This window comes from Homo sapiens, chromosome 4 (genome assembly GCF_000001405.40).
Source record: "Homo sapiens chromosome 4, GRCh38.p14 Primary Assembly".
Classification (NCBI taxonomy): domain Eukaryota; kingdom Metazoa; phylum Chordata; class Mammalia; order Primates; family Hominidae; genus Homo; species Homo sapiens.
In genome coordinates this window covers 153,544,095-153,563,063 of record NC_000004.12, presented here as the reverse complement: position 1 = coordinate 153,563,063, position 18,969 = coordinate 153,544,095, and the positions used below count along the sequence as shown (strand labels likewise).

General features: G+C 39.9%; 1 protein-coding gene across 41 annotated transcripts in view, besides 1 other annotated feature; it reads right to left on the bottom strand.

Moving 5' to 3' along the window:
- The window catches only part of TMEM131L (transmembrane 131 like), a 170,352-nt gene that overhangs the window by 73,648 nt on the left and 77,735 nt on the right, over positions 1 to 18,969 (bottom strand). For all 41 annotated transcript variants that reach the window (XM_047449899.1, XM_011531780.2, XM_047449901.1 and 38 more), the window contains exons 4-7: positions 12,923 to 12,991; positions 7,154 to 7,277; positions 5,982 to 6,098; positions 4,696 to 4,806 (exon numbers count right to left, since the gene is read on the bottom strand). In XM_047449899.1, the coding sequence (XP_047305855.1) occupies positions 4,696 to 4,806; positions 5,982 to 6,098; positions 7,154 to 7,277; positions 12,923 to 12,991 (421 nt within the window). The remainder of the gene's footprint in view (positions 1 to 4,695; positions 4,807 to 5,981; positions 6,099 to 7,153; positions 7,278 to 12,922; positions 12,992 to 18,969) is intronic.
- Positions 1,872 to 2,011: a silencer, noted in NCBI's record as "silent region_15764". NCBI's record gives its function as "represses an Ori minimal core promoter by ATAC-STARR-seq in GM12878 lymphoblastoid cells {active_cell/tissue: GM12878}" and the evidence as "EXISTENCE:reporter gene assay evidence [ECO:0000049][PMID:35858748]".

Sequence of the window (18,969 nt, the reverse complement as noted above, 5' to 3'; positions counted from 1 at the left end):
AATATTCAATGAATTATACTAAAATCCATATTTAGACCCATATGTAAGGCAGACCCAAACATATAATCAGCCTGTACTTTTTACCCACTCACATATAAAAATCTAAAAATTAGATGGCCCTATTGTTTCAGTGAAAATACTTTTAAATTACTACTATCATCTTAGTCTCAGTTTTCTTTTTCATAATGATTCAACTGACGTACATAAAACAACAGTATTTCTTCTCTCAATTTCAAATTTTATTCCTAAACCAAACAGAGTTATTTTCTCTTCACATGGCACTAAGGGAACAAGTTAAAGAAAAGCTGATGACATATTTCTGTCTAAACCTTCTTGCTTAGCTTTCTATCAGATATACTTTCTAGCTCTATACTGGAGAAGAGGCAATTATGCCTTTGGTACCTTCCACACCCTCTTATCCTCTTTGAAGTCTGACCTCCTCAATCCACTAACTCCCCAACCCTGGACAATGGGCTCTTGACAACAGGCAGAGAGTAAAAAACATAAAACCCGTAGAATATCAAAATAAAGACATTCCTTTCTAAGAACAGTTGACAACTTTATAGCCACTTAAAATACAAGAAATAACTCACATAATGTATGCAATTTAGATGCAGAAATATTATAGTCAAGATTTTTTTCTTCTAGAGGAATGCCACAATTATTTCTTAGGTTTAAATTTTTTAAGTTTTTGTTTTTAGGTATAGCAAGCCTTAAAAAATACTTTAGGCTGGGTGCGGTGGCTCATGCCTGTAATTCCAGCACTTTAGGAGGCCGAGGTGGGCGGATCACGAGGTCAGGAGTTTGAGACCAGCCTGATCAACATGGTGAAACCCTGTCTCTACTAAAAATACAAAAATTAGCTGGGCTTGGTGGTGCATGCCTGTAGTCCCAGCTACTCAGGAGGCTGAGGCAGCAGAATTGCTTGAACCCAGGAGGCGGAGGTTGCAGTGAGCTGAGATCGCACCACTGCACTCTAGCCTAGGCAATAGAGCAAGACTCTGCCTCAAAAAAAAAAAAAATTTAAAATTTATTTTCTTAAATCACAGTAAAAGTGAAAGAAATTAAAATAACTGACTTTTAAGAGGTTTTTTTTTTTTGATATTCAGATTTTTAAATACTGGTTTCTAAGAAAAGACCAGCCAAAAAAATTAAGTTTCATCTACAAACTCTGAAGTATTTTATACCGTAACACCACAAGAGTAGGGACACTGTGTGTGTTCATTGCCCTATCATTTACTGGAACACTCAATAAATAATGTTCAATAACTATTTTTGACTAATGGGAGAGAACTATGGGCAAAAGGAGCAGCCTTAGAAAGTGACTTAACTAAACTCACAGATCCTTGGATAAATGAAAAATGAAGGAGAGAATCTAGAGCCAGGAATGGGGCCACAGATGAGAGGTCAACAAGGATACCAAGACAATTCAATGTACAAAGAACTGTCTTTTCAACAAATGGTACTGGAACTACCAGACATCTACATGCAAAAGAATGAAAATGAATCCCTTCCTCACACCATATGCTAAAACTTAAAGTGAGGATGGGTCATAAACCTAAATGTAAACTATAAAACTTTAGAAGAAAACATAGGAGTAAAGCTTCACAACATTAGGCCTTTTTAGATATAATATTAAAATCATAAAGTGAAAAAAGAAAAACAGAAAAACTTGACTTCATCAAAATTTAAATCTTTTGTACTTCAAAGGGCATCATCAAGAAAATGAAAAGACAACCTATAGAAAGGGAGAAAATATTTGCAAACCATGTACCTGATAAAGGTCCAATGTCCAGAATTTAATACATTTACTACTCAACAATAAAAAGACAAACACAATTTTAAAATGTGCAAAGGATATGAACAACCACTTCCCCAAAGACGATATACAAATGGCCACTGAGCACATGAAAAGATGCTCCATGTCATTAGTCATTACAAAAATGCAAATCAAAACCACATGAGATACCACTTCATGCTCAGTAAGATGGCTATTTAAAAAACAAACAAAAATGGAAGACAAGTGTTGGCAAAGTTGTAGAAGACTGGAATCCTCATTGCTAGTGGGATTGTAAAATGATGCAACCACTTTAGAAAACAGTTTTACAGTTCCTCAAAATGTTAAACATGGAATTACCATATGACCCAGCAAAATTCCACTCCTAAATATACACCTAAGAGAAAAGATATGAAAGATATGTCCACCCAAACTTACACAAGAATGTCATTCATAATAGCCAGAGTAGAAACAACGCAAATGTCCACCAATTGATGAATGGTTATGCAAAATGTGGCATATCCTACAATGTGTATTATTTGCAATAAAAAGGAATGAAATACATGGATGAAACTGAAAACATGCTAAGGGAAAGATGCCAATCACAAAAGACCATACATTTCATTTATATAAGATGTTCAAAATAGACAAATCTTTAGAGACAGAAAGTAAGAGACTGAGGCAATGAAAATGTTCTAAAATTAGACAGTGATCGTGAGGGCTGCACAACTTTGGATATACTAAAACCCACTGAATGGTACACTTTAAGTGGGCAGATTTTGTGGTATGTGAATTATATTTCATAACACTGTTTACAAAATACATTTTAAAAATACAAAAAAGAAAAGAAACAGAGTTTGGGTATCTTCTGAAGCAGAAACAAAGACCAAGAAAAGCCAAGGCACTGCCAAGGTAGGCTACAGTGCAGGGAGAGACAGAGACGTGGCCTGTGAGGACAGCCCCAGAGCTACCTCAGGCCAAAACTCCACTCAACCACTGCTTCCCAGGTGAGGTGCAGGGAGTACAACGGGAAGCTCAATCAGATGGTCCCTGTTCTCATGGAGCTTCCATTCCATGGGTGATGAAAAGAATAGTGAAGCAATTACATCATGTGGGCATGTGATTATTTAATGGATATAAGTATGGGAGCGGAAGTCTAGATAAATATGGGAGCAGAAATTAGGATGGGGAGAGACGCAAAAGTCCCTGAAGAGCTCAAGTGTGAGTTGAAAAAGGAAGGATGAAATAAGGGTTAATTTGGAGAAAATTGGAGGTGGAGGTTGAGAACATTGCAGACACAAGGGACCTGTGGCAGGAGGGAAAACGGCATTGCACAAGTGAGCGGGGGAAGGCTCTTGTGGCCATGAACTAGAGACCAAGAACAGGTGGTGAGCACTGGGGCTGAAGAGAGACAGCAGCCACACCACGCAGGTCTTACAGCCATAAGCGGGATTTGGTTTAAATTCTAAGACCTATGGGAATGCACTGAAGGGTTTCAAGCAGGGGACTAATGGGGTCCAACTTGAATTTTTTGGAAAGAGGTAGGAAGGGACTAAAGTAGATCCTGGCAGTTAATGGGATACTATCAGTTGGCCATCAGAGAGATGAGGATGTCCTGGGTGTGGTAAAGGGCAGTGGGCATCATGAGAAGTACGCAGGATCTGCCAGGCCAGGGGGATGAGAGAATGGGTACGCTGTTCTAGCTCTCTAGGAGGCCTGCAGAGTCAGTTTCCTCTCTCCCTTCATTCCACTTATCCTTACATTAACCCCCAATAACTAAGGTATTCTGAATACCTGTCTCTATTCCAATATTTAGATCTCCACTGATGAGGCATCTGGCCCTCCAAAAATGCAAGCCACAGCACATCAGTATCAGTCTCCTGCTTAAAACCTTTCAACACATGCCCCCTGGTTTTAGGATTTAAACCAAATATAAATTTGCAAATTAAAAGAAGTCTTCCTTAAAATTCTGCAAGGAGGGGCTTTTCCATTTTATAAAAATAAAAATATGATTTAAGATCCCTAAGAATTATGTACTTGGTGATAAAGATTCCAGATATAATCCTAGAGGTAAATTAATTTGGTTCTTCTCCCCAACTGGAATGTAGGCTCTACGCAGATACAAACTCTAGACCAAGGCCTGGCACAAAGCAGAGGCTCAGGAAAACCGCTGAATGAATGAAAGCCCCAGGTACTAATGGTACTGACTACAAATTCTAAGCAATGTTCTTTATTTACCAATCAGAAAGAAGAGGTAAGTTTCATAATATATTGGTTCAAGAGCTTTTCTCAATTATAAAATTATCCAGTTACAAGGAAATATGGATAATCAAAGGGAAAAAGTAGCCAACCCTATAAAATGATTCATGAAATGTATATTAAAAGAATTTAAACTTATCATTATACATCTACTATAACATCAGAAATAGTTCTTCCCACCAAGCCCCATCCGGGCAGGGCTAAAAGCAGGACATCCTTAGGGGCCTGTTATTACTTGTGACCATGGGGGCTGCCTCCCTGAAAAGCAAGCTGGTAAGATTTAACAAGCTCTACAAAATCGTTCACAGTCTTTAACTAAAGAATCTCTCCTCTTTATGAAACATGCCCCAAGGAAACAGAGGATTCAGAAGGAAAATTAAAGAAACTTATAAAATAGGTATATGGCCTAACGGTAATAACAGTGAAAAACAGGAAACATTTCAAAAGACCAACAATAAGATTAAGCAAACTCTGGAATATCAACACTGTGAACTCCACAGCCATTAAAAAGAAGTTAGGTGGAATCCACTGATATTTTATATATGTATATTACTTCTATATAATTTTTTCAAAAAGCAGAAAATAGTAAAATAACCAATTCTGAGAAGGTTACAAAGTTTGGTGGCCACCAGCATTCAAAGTAAATCTATTAAAATGACCTGCATTTGAGACAGCTGAATGCTCTGGACCTTTGGAAGCAGAAAATAAGCATTTGGTAGCTGCTTTGCAGACCCTTCTGTAGAGATTCTACGAGTGCCAATTCCAGATACCTGCGGAAAAAGAGAGAGAATTGCTCCTCTGTTAAGAGTTTTAAAACACATTTGCCATAATGCTAAAGCACGTCTCCAAAGGAAATCTGTATTCATCAGCATGGCCTTCAAGACTCTACTAATCCAATTATTTTATTTATCTTTGTCTACAAAAAACACAATGAATGTTTCAGAAATGCAGAATGCTGGCTGAGCACGGTGGCTCACGCCTGTAATCCCAACACTTTGGGAGGCCCAGGGAGGTGGATCATTTGAGGACAGGAGTTTGAGACCAGCCTGGCCAACATGGTGAAAGCCTGTTTCTGCTAAAAATACAAAAATTAGCCAGGCAGTGGTGGGAGGCTGAGGCAGGAGAATCGCTTGTGCCTGGGAGGTGGCTGCAGTCAGCCTGATCACACCACTGCACTCCAGCCTGGGCAACAAAGTGAGACCCTGCCTCAAAAACTAAAAAATAAAAAATGAAACAGATTAGAATGCTGTATTTAAGCTGAATGTTCCTCACTGTAGCAAATCTGTTCACAAGTAGGCAACTCTTCTGATATGGGACCTCTTTAATGGAATCCAGTAAGAAATAACCACAAAAATTACTGATCTTGGAACTTAAATTACTTGATGCCAGATCTTGTTAAATGCCATATCAGGTACCATTTAAGGTAAAGATTCCTATTTCTGAGAATAGCAACAAGATTCTTCAAGCTCCCTTCCTGGTACCTTGATATGAATAGTGAGCTCCCTTGGAACCAGCCTCCAAGCACACAATCAATGTCTCCTAATTAGAAATATTCCTGAGCCAAAGAGGGAAGGTAGGCAAAATCACTAGAGACTGTCCTTAGAGCACCTCCTTCTGAACGCCCGTGAGGTGAGAGCCATGAGTTTTGAAAGCCTTCTGTATTTTATGATGGGAAACTGTGTGACAGATTGCTTTGCTTTGTTCTAGTATCCTCCAAAGACCCACAGTAGGACTATAGCTCCGTCATCAGTAGGAAAGCCAGCCAACTGTGGCATGTCAGGCAGAAAAGGGTGAATGCTGATGATTTTAACATCACTAACAGTCTTGTATTTTAACGACATAAACCAGGTGACAACATTTCCAAAAGTCTTTTTAAAAATATACACACACACCCCTACAGTTAAGTCACCAACCAAAGTTGTGACAAAAGGAAAAAGTTACTCACATGATAGGAAAGGACTCCATACGAAGAGGTATTAATAAATAAGGAACTTTCAATGCTTCCTTCTTCAGTAGGTAAGAAAATAATTCTGAAGGAAGTTTTCCCCATTGCTGGAATTACCTGAAAGAAAGGTCCCCAGTCAGCCACTTGGAATGGCCTCCTTTGATAAACTGTCTTTCACAGACTTTCTTTTTTTGACAATTTCTGTTAACAGACATTTGTATATTGTGCACCCTTATCAGTATTATGAATCCCTAAGAATCCCCAAACTGATCAGCATCCAATTATCTGCTCTTAGATATAGCAAATATTACCACTAACTTAGGATGAATCCTTTCGCTTCAGACTGGAGCTGTGAGTCTCACATCTTTCCTTCCCCTCCTCTTCCACCTCCACAGGTCCAACTGTCTTTAGCTAACACAGTTCTATCTCTACTTAAATATAGACAATAACCAACGTGCAAACATGTTGATATGTAATAAAAATCAGGAACAACGTTTACCCAGACAGACTGTCATAAACCAAATATTGGGCTTCCCCTTACAACATATCCTTAGTCCTAGTTTTTTTTTTAAGTACATAATATCAGGCAGACATAGTAAGCAAAATAAATAAAAGCCTACTAGCAATTAGGATCTTCACTAAATGTTAAAGACCACTGAAATTAAAACTATTAGAAGACTAAGTTTGAGCTCTGTGTTATGGTGCCAATCAGCTTTACAAGGAGCCATTCACTATACCTTGCAGTTCTGGATTTAGAAAGGAGACCTAACTTTCCTAGTAGGCTTGAGAGATGGAAGAGGTCTCAACCATAAACTTGTATTAGTTACTAAATGCCTCAGAATTTGGAGTCATTTCAAGACAAGTAATATAAACTTTCCTTAGTCACAATAGAGCCATGTTAAATATACATACATTACTACACAGCTGAGAGCCTTCAAACTCTCCCCCAACCCCCCACCTCCCCCCGGCCCCAGTAGATATCAAGAGCCACCAAAATTATAAAAATGAGCAACTGGAAAAGTAAATGCTAAGGTAAACACACAGAAGGAAAAGGTTTGGGTACCAGAAAAAGCGGGAGACAGGGAGCAGAAAGTAAAAACTTCAGGCCAAAGAAAGCAAGAAAACCTGGCTGCCTGCCACGGCATAGTTTCCAGGAGTCCATCAACACCCACCCTGCAGGGAACTGGCGGTACATGGAAATGTCCAGCAGCTGCAAACACTGAATTCACCACAACCTCGCTGTCCCTACTAGGGTTGTAAGCATGGAGAATCTTTGCTACAGGATGTCCCAGGAACCTAGGAGGAGAAACAAAGAGAAAAATCAATGTATTGTGTGGTTATAAATATTACCATACATATATATGTATTATTATATATATACACACAGATTTTTAAACCCAGAAAGCTGTTGCTGTTCATCACAAAGTTAAATTATCCAATCGTGTTGGTAATAAAGCATTCAATTCACAACAGTCAAAAGTCATAAAACAAAAAACAACTTTATTTTATAAGGCTTAGGCCAACCCACAGTAGCACTCCATTGGTTTCAGTGTTAGAAAAATTTAACCCATCTAGGCCATTAAAATGCTTGCAAAAAAACAAAACAAAACACATGTAGGCACTCACTGGCACTTCTCGGACCTGGGTCTCTAATTCAATGAAAATATGTTGAATAATTCAATGAAAGTATGAATGAAAATTCACTGAAATATTCATTCGAAAATATTGAAACAAACGAAAATATGTTTAGGTAAGAAACTGTACTCACAGAAAAACCCAATTTTTCTTAGGGTTATGTTTTCTGAGTAAAAGAGACTTTTTGGGGAGGTATGTATTTTCAGCTCACAAAGAGATGTTATTTTATTAGGTCTTAGAAAAGGAAAACTTAATTATGGCTAAAGGCTATTCTTTTGAGAAAACTGAAAATCCGGCAGCACTTTGCAGCAGAGGTTCTCATCCATTTAAATTATGAGCCTTTCCAAAAACTCTGATGAAAGCTCTGGCTCTTCCCTCCACAAACATACACTTACGAAAAGTTTCATACACAGCTTCAAAACCTTCCACAAACCTCAGAGTAAGAATCCCTGCTCCGTGGCAAATACACTAATTCATGAAGGGTTTGATACCCATTCTTTTCAGCAGCACTCTCCACCTCCAATGTCTCGGCTCTGATAAAGGAATTGCCAAGAGGAAAGGAGCTGGGCTCAGGCCCACCTACCTGGAGCCACCTACAATGCTCCCTCTAATCACTTAACTCTGATTCCTACTGCTCAAGACCAAATTCAGTCTTGTTCAATTATGTTGCAATGAACAGGGAGCCAGCAAAAATTTCACTAAAGTCATTTCTTCAGTTTTAATAGCCTCAGTGGCAGAGAGAGCCAAATATACAGCTGTCATTCGGATGGCCTAGAAATAAAATTATATTCTAATTTAAGCTGAATGAATTATATCTATAATTGGAATAAAATTGGAAAAATATCAGCATAATGAATGAATTCCGTAAAATTAGGTAAAATCTTTGATATTAAAAATGTATCCTTTAGGAAACATGAAATGGATGTTGCTTCTCTTATATACAATGAGATTTCCAAAATACTGTATTACTACCATCAAATCCTTGGAATTTTTCTTTTGGCTTTCACCCTTCCTTTTAATCACTAGTCTTAACGAAAGGTTTAATATATCCAATGTGTATTTCAAAACGTAGTTCTTCACATCCCATTACAAATAAAATACCAACATCAATGTGATTAAAATCCTGATTTTTCAAAGTGTTCTTAAGTAATACCATTTTTTTAAAAAATGTTCAACACTACCATACACATAAAGGGTCACTTCAGAAAAGCCTTACCTCAGAGCAGTGGGCTTGTATCTGCCTTTCTTCCCACAATTAAAATTAAATAAATAAGGACTTCTGAGGTTTTGGGTTTCAAGTAAATAATATCAATCATCAAAGTTATTAATACTTATCCTCAAAGCTTTATATCCCATGTACATAATTGAAATACAAGGTTTCTAAGAATACAAATGTCTATCAGAGAAATACATGAGAAAATAAGAATGCAAAACAGCAATGCTACAGAGCCAGTGACTGCACCACCAGAAATCTCTCCAGACCTAACAGAGAATGCCAGCTGAAGCCTAGTCACCACTGCTATTTTTATTCTATTTTTTAGATTCTATTTTTAAAAGTGTTATGAGGATATAAATTTCCTTCACTAGTGACAACTGGAAGATACTCTGTTAATTTAACACTACAAAAGAATGATTAAAATCTCTATGAATGATTAGCACTTTTTATCTCAGGACCAACAGAATATTAACCCTTCACATAAGCCCTAAGAAGTAGGCAGAAGGCAACCGAGTAACAAGATCCCGATTTTACAACCCCCCAGGAAAATCAAAGCTATGAAGAGGGTTGGGATTTGCTCGAGGCCAACATCAAAATAAACCATAGCAAAAGCTGAACTGGGACAGCGAAGAAATCAGGAGGAGAACCCTCAGGCTAAAGTTTTACTCTAATGTCTATATATTAGACCATTTGTCAGACATAAGGTAAAACTCAACTAATCTTAAATGTGTTCTAATTTAGGCTAAAGTTTGTTCTGAGGTTTTTTTTTTTTTTAACTTCAGCAAAATGACTAATTCTCATAATCATATTCCAGATCTCACTAACAAGAAAAATAGCATTATGAGTGCTCTTAGAAATCAGAAGATTTATTCTACCACTTGTAGTGAAATGACCTTGAGCAAATGGCATTCCTTCTCAGCAACAAATGTATGAACACATTTGTAGTACATGCTCAAACAAAGAGATATTTGAAAACGATACACACAGACTCAGATAATGCCTGTCTTCACTGGACTGATATAAAACTCAAATGACAACGGACATGATTACACTTTGGGAACCATAAAGTATTATATAAACGTAACTAAGTCCTCCAAAGGTGATTCCATCTAAAAATCAGAAATCCTTTCAAATCAAAGACTTTCAGCATTCTCTCAGCATGCGACTATTAGGACCAGAGATTAATGTATATTGCTAATTAACAAAAGTGTATCATATACAGTTGGCTCTCCATATCTGCAGATTCAACCAACCTTGATTGAAAGTGTTTGAGGGAAAAAAAAAAACACAAAAAATAACAACACAAGAAAAAAGAGATACAGTATAACTATTTACATAGTATTTACACTATATTAGTCATTATAAGTAAACTAGAGTTTTTTTTGTTTTTGTTTTTTTGAGACAAGGTCTCACTCTGTCATCTAGGCTGGAGTGCAGTGGCATGATCATAGCTCACAGTAACCTTGAACTCCTGGACTCAAGTGATCCTCCTGCCTCAGCCTCATGAGTAGCTGGAAGTACAGGTGTGCACCACCATGCTTAGCTAATTTTTAAAAAAAATTTTATGGAGACAGGGTCTCACAGTGTTGCGCAGGCTGGTCTTGAACTCTTGGCCTCAAGTGATCCTCCTGCCTCAGTCTCCCAAAGTGCTGGGATTACAGGCATAAACCACCGTGCCCGGCCTCTAGAGATAATCTAAAGTATATGGGAGGTTGTGTGTAAATACTATGCCAAGGACTTGAGCATCCTTAGCTTTTGGTATCCATGGGGGTCCTGGATCCAATCCCATGTGGATAACGAGGGACAACTGTAAACATACCCCCATGTGCATCGACTATAGGATTTTTTTACGTTACTGAAGAGTAAATATTTTAGACAGCCAGGAACCTATGAACTGGAATTATTATCCTAATAGCTATACTTACTACTACTATTATTCTATCTACCAATCTATAACATATATTCTTTAAAGTAGGTCCTGAATCAAAATTTCTTTTCACAATAAAGACTCTTTTTTTTGAGACAGAGTCTCCCTCTGTCGCCCAGGCTAGAACTCGGTGGCATGATGATCTTGGCTCACTGCAACCTCTGCCTCTCAGGCTCAAGCAACTCTTGTGCCTCAACCTCCCAAGTAACTGGGATTACAGATGCTCACCACCATGTCCGGCTAATTTTTGTATTTTTATTAGAGTCACGGGTTTTGCCATGTTGGCCACGCTGGTCTCGAACTCCTGAGCTCAAGTGATCCGCCCAGCCCGGGCTCCCAGAGTGCTGGGATTACAGGTGTGAGCCACCGCGCTCAGCCTCACAATAAAGATTTTTCACAAAATTATAGCACCCTCTCAGAATGTAAAATCAATGAGGTTATGATAAATTCAGCTTATTTATATTATCAACTAAACTACTAAGCATTCAGCTTCTATTAAACTTTCTTTACATAAGAGTAAAAATATAAAAACTCAAAAAAACAGACACCTAGAATTTTATAAAGTCGGCAAACTCCCAGTTTTCTCTTCTTCCCTTTATAGAATCTTTTTCTAAAAAGCTCAACATGGTCCTTTTAAATTCCAAGTTCAGGCTGGGTGCGGTGGCTCATGCCTGTAATCCCAGCACTCTGAGAGGCCAAGGAGGGCGTATCACTTGAGGTCAGGAGTTTGAGACTAGCCTGGCCAACATGGCAAAACACTGTCTCTACTAAAAATACAAAAATTACAGGCGTGGTGGCGGGCACCCATAGTCCCACCTATTCAGGAGGCTGAGGCAGGAGAATCGTTTGAACCCAACAGGCGGAGGCTGCAGTGAGCCGACACTGTGCCCCTGCACTCCAGCCTAAGTGACAGTGCAAGACTCCGTCTCAAAAAAAAAAAAAAAATTCCAAGTTCATTCTCCTTCACTGCAGCTCTAACATTTTGATGATTAGAAGGGAATGTAAAGCAATCCAGATGCATAAAGGAGGGCACACCAGGAGCCCACCCTAACCCAGCCCAGATGCTCTCCTACGGCCATGGTTATTTCATTCACAAAACTTTGCTTGTCACTCAAAAGGCTCTCCATGAAATTGAAGTGTTATTTGCCAGCCCCGGAAACAAGCAGTGCTTTTACCTCTCGCTCTTGAAACTACTAATTAGAAGTTCTTTTCAATGCGCTATATTCTGCATCCAGGAAGCTTAACACTTGAAGATCCAAACTTTATCACGGACAACAAGAGTCCTTATGTTGCTTTCATCTCCACAGCGTCACCCTTCCTTAATTTTTCCAGGTTCCCAAGTTAGGCCCTCAACTGACACTCATATCACACTGTCTTCATCTTGCGGTTCTTTACATGATACTGTAAAGTCATTACAGTTTATGCACTGCCTTCCCCATCTTGAGTCTCCAAAGTCTTAATCCTAACAACTGTAAGCATGGTGCAATTTTGAATCCAGAAGGCACAGCAAGAAGTAAAACCAAGTGAGCAAATGAATCTAGTGTACAAAAATTCAGAGACCATCAATATTTAGTTTTTCATTATAAAATAACCGGATTTGTTTTGGAAAAACAACATTGACTTATTAAATTTCAATCACTACAAAATATTAAAAGGTATACTTATTAAAAATTAAAGAAGGCCAGGAGTGGTGGCTCGCGCCTGTAATCCCAGCACTTTGGGAGGCCGAGGCGGGCGGATCACGAAGTCAGGAGATCAAGACCATCCTGGCGAACACGGTGAAACCCCGTCTCTACTAAAAACACAAAAAATTAGCCGGGCGTGGTGGCGGGTGCCTGTAGTCCCAGCTACTCGGGAGGCTGAGGTAGGAGAATGGCGTAAACCCGGGAGGCAGAGCTTGCAGTGAGCAGAGATCACGCCACTGCACTCCAGCCTGGTGGACAGAGCAGGAGTCTGTCTCAAAAAAAGAAAAAATTAAAGAAAGGGCTGAAACAATTCTTGTACTCTCCTTTTCACAAAAATATTTCTCTTAAGTCCCAGGATCAATATCCCTTCATATTATCAATATACCTAAAATTTAACATTGTACATATATGTAAAAAAAATTCTGAAAATAAATAGTATAAATAAAATGAGTTTTAATTATAAAGAAAAGATACTTACTGTATTCCAAAATCTAAAACTGATGGCTGAAAATGTAAGCCTTTTCCACTAAATAGTTTGTCCGAGAAGCTAAAAAAAGAAAAGAGAGGTTGATTTTGTTGTAGTTTTAACATTTAAATGCTGAGATATAACGTACTTAGACTAATGACTCTCAATGCATGACATATAATTTTACTCCCTCATAGATTTTAAATGATAAAATTGAACTATTAGAAGTCTGGTATAATTCTAGAGTTGTAAACTTAAGATAATTTAAGATTACGGTTAGTAGAACTTCATATCAAATGTACAGATTTTTTAAGCATTCAGACAGAAATAGAGATGGATTTAATTTGTAATAGCCTTCATTTCTGGGTGAATTTGGATGACATGGCTATTTTCATAAACCCTAAATCAGGAAATGATATACAAGTAAAGTTGGCCTGGGGGACTGTGGCCTCTGACTTTGTTAAGACTTCTTATAACAAGGCAAGGACAGTGTCGCATAGCTGGTGAGGCTACAACCATCACAAGCCTGCATAAGAATAACAATCATACACAATCTCACATGGCAGGTCACATTTCAGTTATTAATCATCACTATGATTTCATTTTCCTTCATAGTCAAAAGGCACAAATCAATATAGCAGAAAAACATATCAAAACATATTTTTAAAAACATGTAAAAGAAAACCATAATAAAGATACATGACATATAAACATACTTAAAAACATAAAATACAAAATACACATATGAGTATGAAAAACCATCAACTTCCATATGACATTTTAAAAGCTCTATTAATCTAAAGAGGTTTAACTGAAGAAGCTCCTAAAGGTAATACGAACAACTGTTTTCAAAGACTGGAACAAGCTTTCCAAAATAGAATCTTTTTGGCTGAAGATGGTGGCTCATGCTTGTAATTCCAGCACTTTGAGAGGCCAAGGCAGGCAGATCACTTGAGCCCAGGAGTTTGAGAGCAGCCTGGGCAACACAGTGAGACCCTATCTCTACTAAAAAATTTTAAAAATTAGCCAGGCATGGTGGCATGCGCCTGTAATCCCAGCTACTCTGGAGGCTGAGGCAGGAGGATTGCTTGAGCCCAGGAGTTTGAGCTTGCAGTAAGCTATGATAGCATCACTGCACTCCAGACTGGGCGACAGAGCAAGACCATTTTTGAGACCTGACTCAAAAATAAATAAGTAAATAGAATCTTTCCATTTTCTCCTCCCACCGAGCAGCCATCAACCAAGCTGGTTCAAAGGCTGGTCCAGGAATGGAAATTTGACTTTTAAACCTGCTGGCCAACAGGCTTTGTGACCTTTCAGCAACTCCCTCTCCAAGGCCCCATTTTTCTTGAAGGTACAAACAATGCAGAGACCCGAGAACCCTTCCAAAGTCCTTGTCTCACAGGAAGAATCTAGTTGCAATCTTTTCTTCCTCCCTCCACTTTCTGCCTTTACCTAAGCTTCTCTTTCTCTATCCTCTCTCCATTATAGTCTGTTTGTACCTCCTTTATTCTATCTCCAGCACCAGCTGTATTAATAATAAAGTGATGCCGCCGGACGCAGTGGCTCACGCCTGTAATCCCAGCACTTTGGGAGGCTGAGGCGGACAGATCACAAGGTCAGGAGATCAAGGCTATCCTGGCTAACACAGTGAAACCCCGTCTCTACTAAAAATACAAAAATTAGCTGGGCGTGGTGGCGGGCGCCTGTAGTCCCAGCTACTCAGGAGGCTGAGGCAGGAGAATAGCATGAACCCGGGACGCAGAGCTTGCAGTGAGCCAAGATCGTGCCACTGCACTCCATCCAGCCTTGGCGACAGAGCGAGACTCCGTCTCAAAAAAATAAAAAGAAATTAAAAAAAAATAAAGTAATGCCTTGGGCTCCATCTGCCTAATTCTTGTCAATCTCTTCACTTGTTTTGAACACGGTCGGAGAAGAGGTATGCTATTTACTCAAACCCTAAAAGGCCAGCACTAATCCTACAACTGGCTTGCAGAGAAGTTGCCTCCGGAAACGACGTGAAGAACCACAGGTGGTAACGAAGGTGAAGAGGTGCCCACAGCAGGTCCACCACAGGGACCCTACTCCAGACGGAGCTGGCCAGGCTCAGTATTTCAGAAGAAGAAAAAAAAAAACAGGCAACTTCATGTACCAAAAATAATTTTGAGAAAAGTCAGGCTACTGCATAGCATAAAGCAATTAATGACAGTCTTCTTCCTGTCTTGTGCACTGAAAAGTGAATTTGCCATCAGATTTTACACAACCTCCACATGAACAGATGAGGTTTGGAGGATTTAAGTAATTCACCCAAGGTCACATAGCTACTAAAAGGCAGAGCCCAAATTCCAATCCAGATCTGTGGAAGTGGGAAACATGAGCCCTGTGTCAAGTTCAGGCACTGTACGACCTATCCAAGGAACCGATGCAGTCTGGCCTGCTGATGACGGCTTGGGAAGCAGAGCACTCGAGGCCTATGGCCATCACCTTCCAGCCCTGAGAGTATCAGTCACTTAACCTCTCTCAAGTCCTAACCTTATTCTCTGTAAAATGGAAACGATCTACCCCATAGTTATCATGAGAATAAAATGAAATAATAGGATGAGATAAAATGATGTGCCAGATATGAAGCAAAGGCTTCATTAAGGTCAATAAATATTCGCTCATATTACTAAGAGGATGACCCTCATCTAATAAGAAAAGCAAAGAGAACAGATGGAGAAGCTGATTGAGCTTAAAGTCAATATCGACCTCTGGAATTAAAAGCCCCAAACGGGATGGTAATAATTAGCTCTGAATATTATAGAATAAATGAAATATAAACTTTGGCTGTCTCATATTCTGATAGAGGTTTTTAAATTCCACAATTAGAAAGTTTTACATACCCAATAAAAATCAGACATTTAGGGCCAAACCTAGAGTAATATGGCAGAAATAGCCAGAGTGTCTCTAACTTCAAAGAAAACTCTATTTTGATCCCAAATAGAGAAATAAAACCATGCCAATTTTTTTTTCTCTAAGAGTCATAAAATAAGTTATTTTTCTCATTGGCTGATTTCAGCTTAATTGACTTTACAGCTTGAAAAATACTACATTAAGTTATAAGGAGTTTTAACGTCAGTATATAAATTTAAAAGCGCTTGCAGGTAAAACTATTTCAGACATAGGTAATGATCTGGAGAGTACTTACACATGCATATGTTTCAAATATTTGTTTGTTTGTTTTTTTGAGACAGAGTTTCACTCTTGTTGCCCACGTTGGAGCGCAATAGCATGAACTCGGCTCACTGCAACCTCCACCTCCCGGGTTCAAGCGATTCCCCTGCCTCAGCCCCACGAGTAGCTGGGTTTACAGGCATGCGCCATTAGGTCTGGCTAATTTTGTATTTTTAACAGAGATGGGGTTTCTCCATGTTGGTCAGGCTGGTCTCAAACTCCTGACCTCAGGTGATCTGCCCGCCTCGGCCTCCCAGAGTGCTGGGATTACAGGCATGAGCCACTGCGCCTGGCTCAAATATTTGTTAAAAAACTGGGGGAGTGTGGGAGAGAACAAACTGCTAAAATTTAGTCAGCTACAGACATGAACAATTATCCTCAAATATCAGTGCCAAGAAATTATATCCTGTTTGAAATGCCAAAGTTCGCTTCAAAGAAATAACTTAAATCTCAAGAACTATAGCAATAAAAGATAAAATTTCCTCCTTTTCCCCCCTTTCTTGCGAAAGTCAGCATTTCACATTTCACCCTTCTCATATTTCACCCTTAATAATAATGATTCATGTATGTCAAAGACCACCTGGCCTCTTTTACTCTTAGGAGTCCCCACAACCTGGCATCAAATAATTACATGCATCTTGTAGAAATCAATGATAAATTTATGCCACATATTTCTAATTTTCACCCCTTCTCCATCTGTAAGATAATTGTAAAAAAAAAAAAAAAGCTCCTAGTTAAAAGAGAAAAATGGACCGGGTGCAGTGGCTCACACCTGTAATCCCCGCACTTTAAGAGGACAAGGTGGGAGGATTGCTCAAGCCTAGGAGTTCGAGACCAGCCTGGGCAATACGGTGAGACCTCATCTCTATTACTATATATATAACATATATATTATCCGAGCTCAGTGGCACACGCTGGTAGTCCCAACTACTGAGGAGGCTGAGGTGGAAGATCCCTTGAGCCCAGGAGTTCAAAGCTGCAGGGAGCAATGACCGCACCACTGCACTCCAGCCTGGGCAACACATAAAAGGGGCCATTTTGCTTCTATAACAGGAGAAAGGCACGAGGATAAGAAATAAAGGCAAGAGCCATCTGCAGTGTCTGAGCTCTTGTTGATACAGATCCTGTTCCACACACTCTTAGTCCTTATTTTGAAGACCTTCTGCAAAGAGCTGAGCTTTCTCAGCAGCAGGACCTGTAGACAAGGATTTCCACATGTCTTATTTTGAAAAAACATTGATCTTTGCCTAAGATTTTACCTGGCCTTTTTTCTTTTATCTTTTAAAAGAAAAAAATCTTTTTAAAAACTTTGGCCACATTTTTTTCTACAGACATACAACAAAGAAACAGTTTGGGCCTGGCACGGTGGCTCATGCCTGTAATCCCAGCACTTTGGGAGGCCGAGGTGGGTGGATCATGAGGTCAGGAGATCGAGACCATCTTGACTAACACGGTGAAACCCCATCTCTATTAAAAATACAAAAAATTAGTCAGGCATGGTGGCGGGCGCCTGTAGTCCCAGCTACTCAGGAGGCTGAGGCAGGAGAATGGCGTGAACCCGGGAGGCGGAGCTTTCAGTGAGTCGGGATCGCGCCACTGCACTCCAGCCTGGGCGACAGAGCGAGACTCCATCTCAAAAAAAAAAAAAAAGTTTGAAAAAGTGGCTGATACAAGAGAAATTTCACTGGAAATGAGAAGGTGCTGGGTCAGGTCCTAGTGTGACGTGAACGCCAATGTGACACAGGGATTCAGTTTCTTCTTCAACAAAATGAGCAAGCTGCATTGGATGACTCCAAGATCCTTCAAAAGCATGTAGATGCCCAGATTTCTTATGCCTAGGAAAATTAAATCTGTCTGCTGATATCAGACACACTTTAAAAAATGAGTCCAGTAACTTAGACATGGAAATGAGTTGGCTGTAACCAACTGTTCCAGCTGTTCACAAATGTTATCCAACCAAAACACGTCATTTCAAAGACAAAGCTTCATCTCCCCAGAGTGAGAGGCAGGGCCAGAGACTGCTGACCCCACCTCAAAGCTCTTGGCAATTTAATAAGGCTCAGCTGCACGGAGGCAGGTGGTCAGCTCCAGGAAGATGCTCCCCTCAGGCTTACCACCCAGGAGGCTGGACTGCCTCATATGCCCACGATCAAAACCCAGAGATCAGGAGAGTCCAAAAACAGAAGAGCGAAAACCCACCGGAGAAACTCAGCAAAGCCTTTGGAGAATGGGGCTATCTGAGTGGGCCTCAATGAGCAGCTACCACGGAGGGACACTGAACAAAGGCTGCTTCCAGTAAGGCCAATGGCAGGAGTGAAGATAGCATGGACCACCTTGGAGAACTGAGCACAGAAAGTGCACTCACAAGCTGGCCTGCTGGCTCCAGGGGTGGAGTGAGGAGAGTGAGGCAGGGAAGCCAGTGTGAGGGGTAAGGGAAGAGGGCCAGCCCAAGGCAGAGGGCAGCCTGGGCCCCATAGCAGCTACCCAGGAAGGCTTTGCTGGCCCATGAGGAGGATAGCGAGGGAAACTCAGCAGACACTTCCCCAGGTGACGTGCTGTGGATGTGTGCTGGCCTTATTCCTAAGGGTTTACTCAGCTCTTGGAGAACACCACAGTGTTTCAGAAGAGGGCCTGTCCTTTCGAACAAGTGAAAAATAGCTTCACCTCCTAACAGGGATCTGAGACACAACAGTGAGCACCTACATCGAGGACTGAACTGTCTGGGTTTCCATATTCCTCAGCGAACTGGGTTTCATCCATCTCTTGATGCCCCCACATCTAGCTAGCTGTCTTTGAGATGCAAACTCTTCCAACACCTGAAAGGACAGTGGGTGTTTCAAAAACAA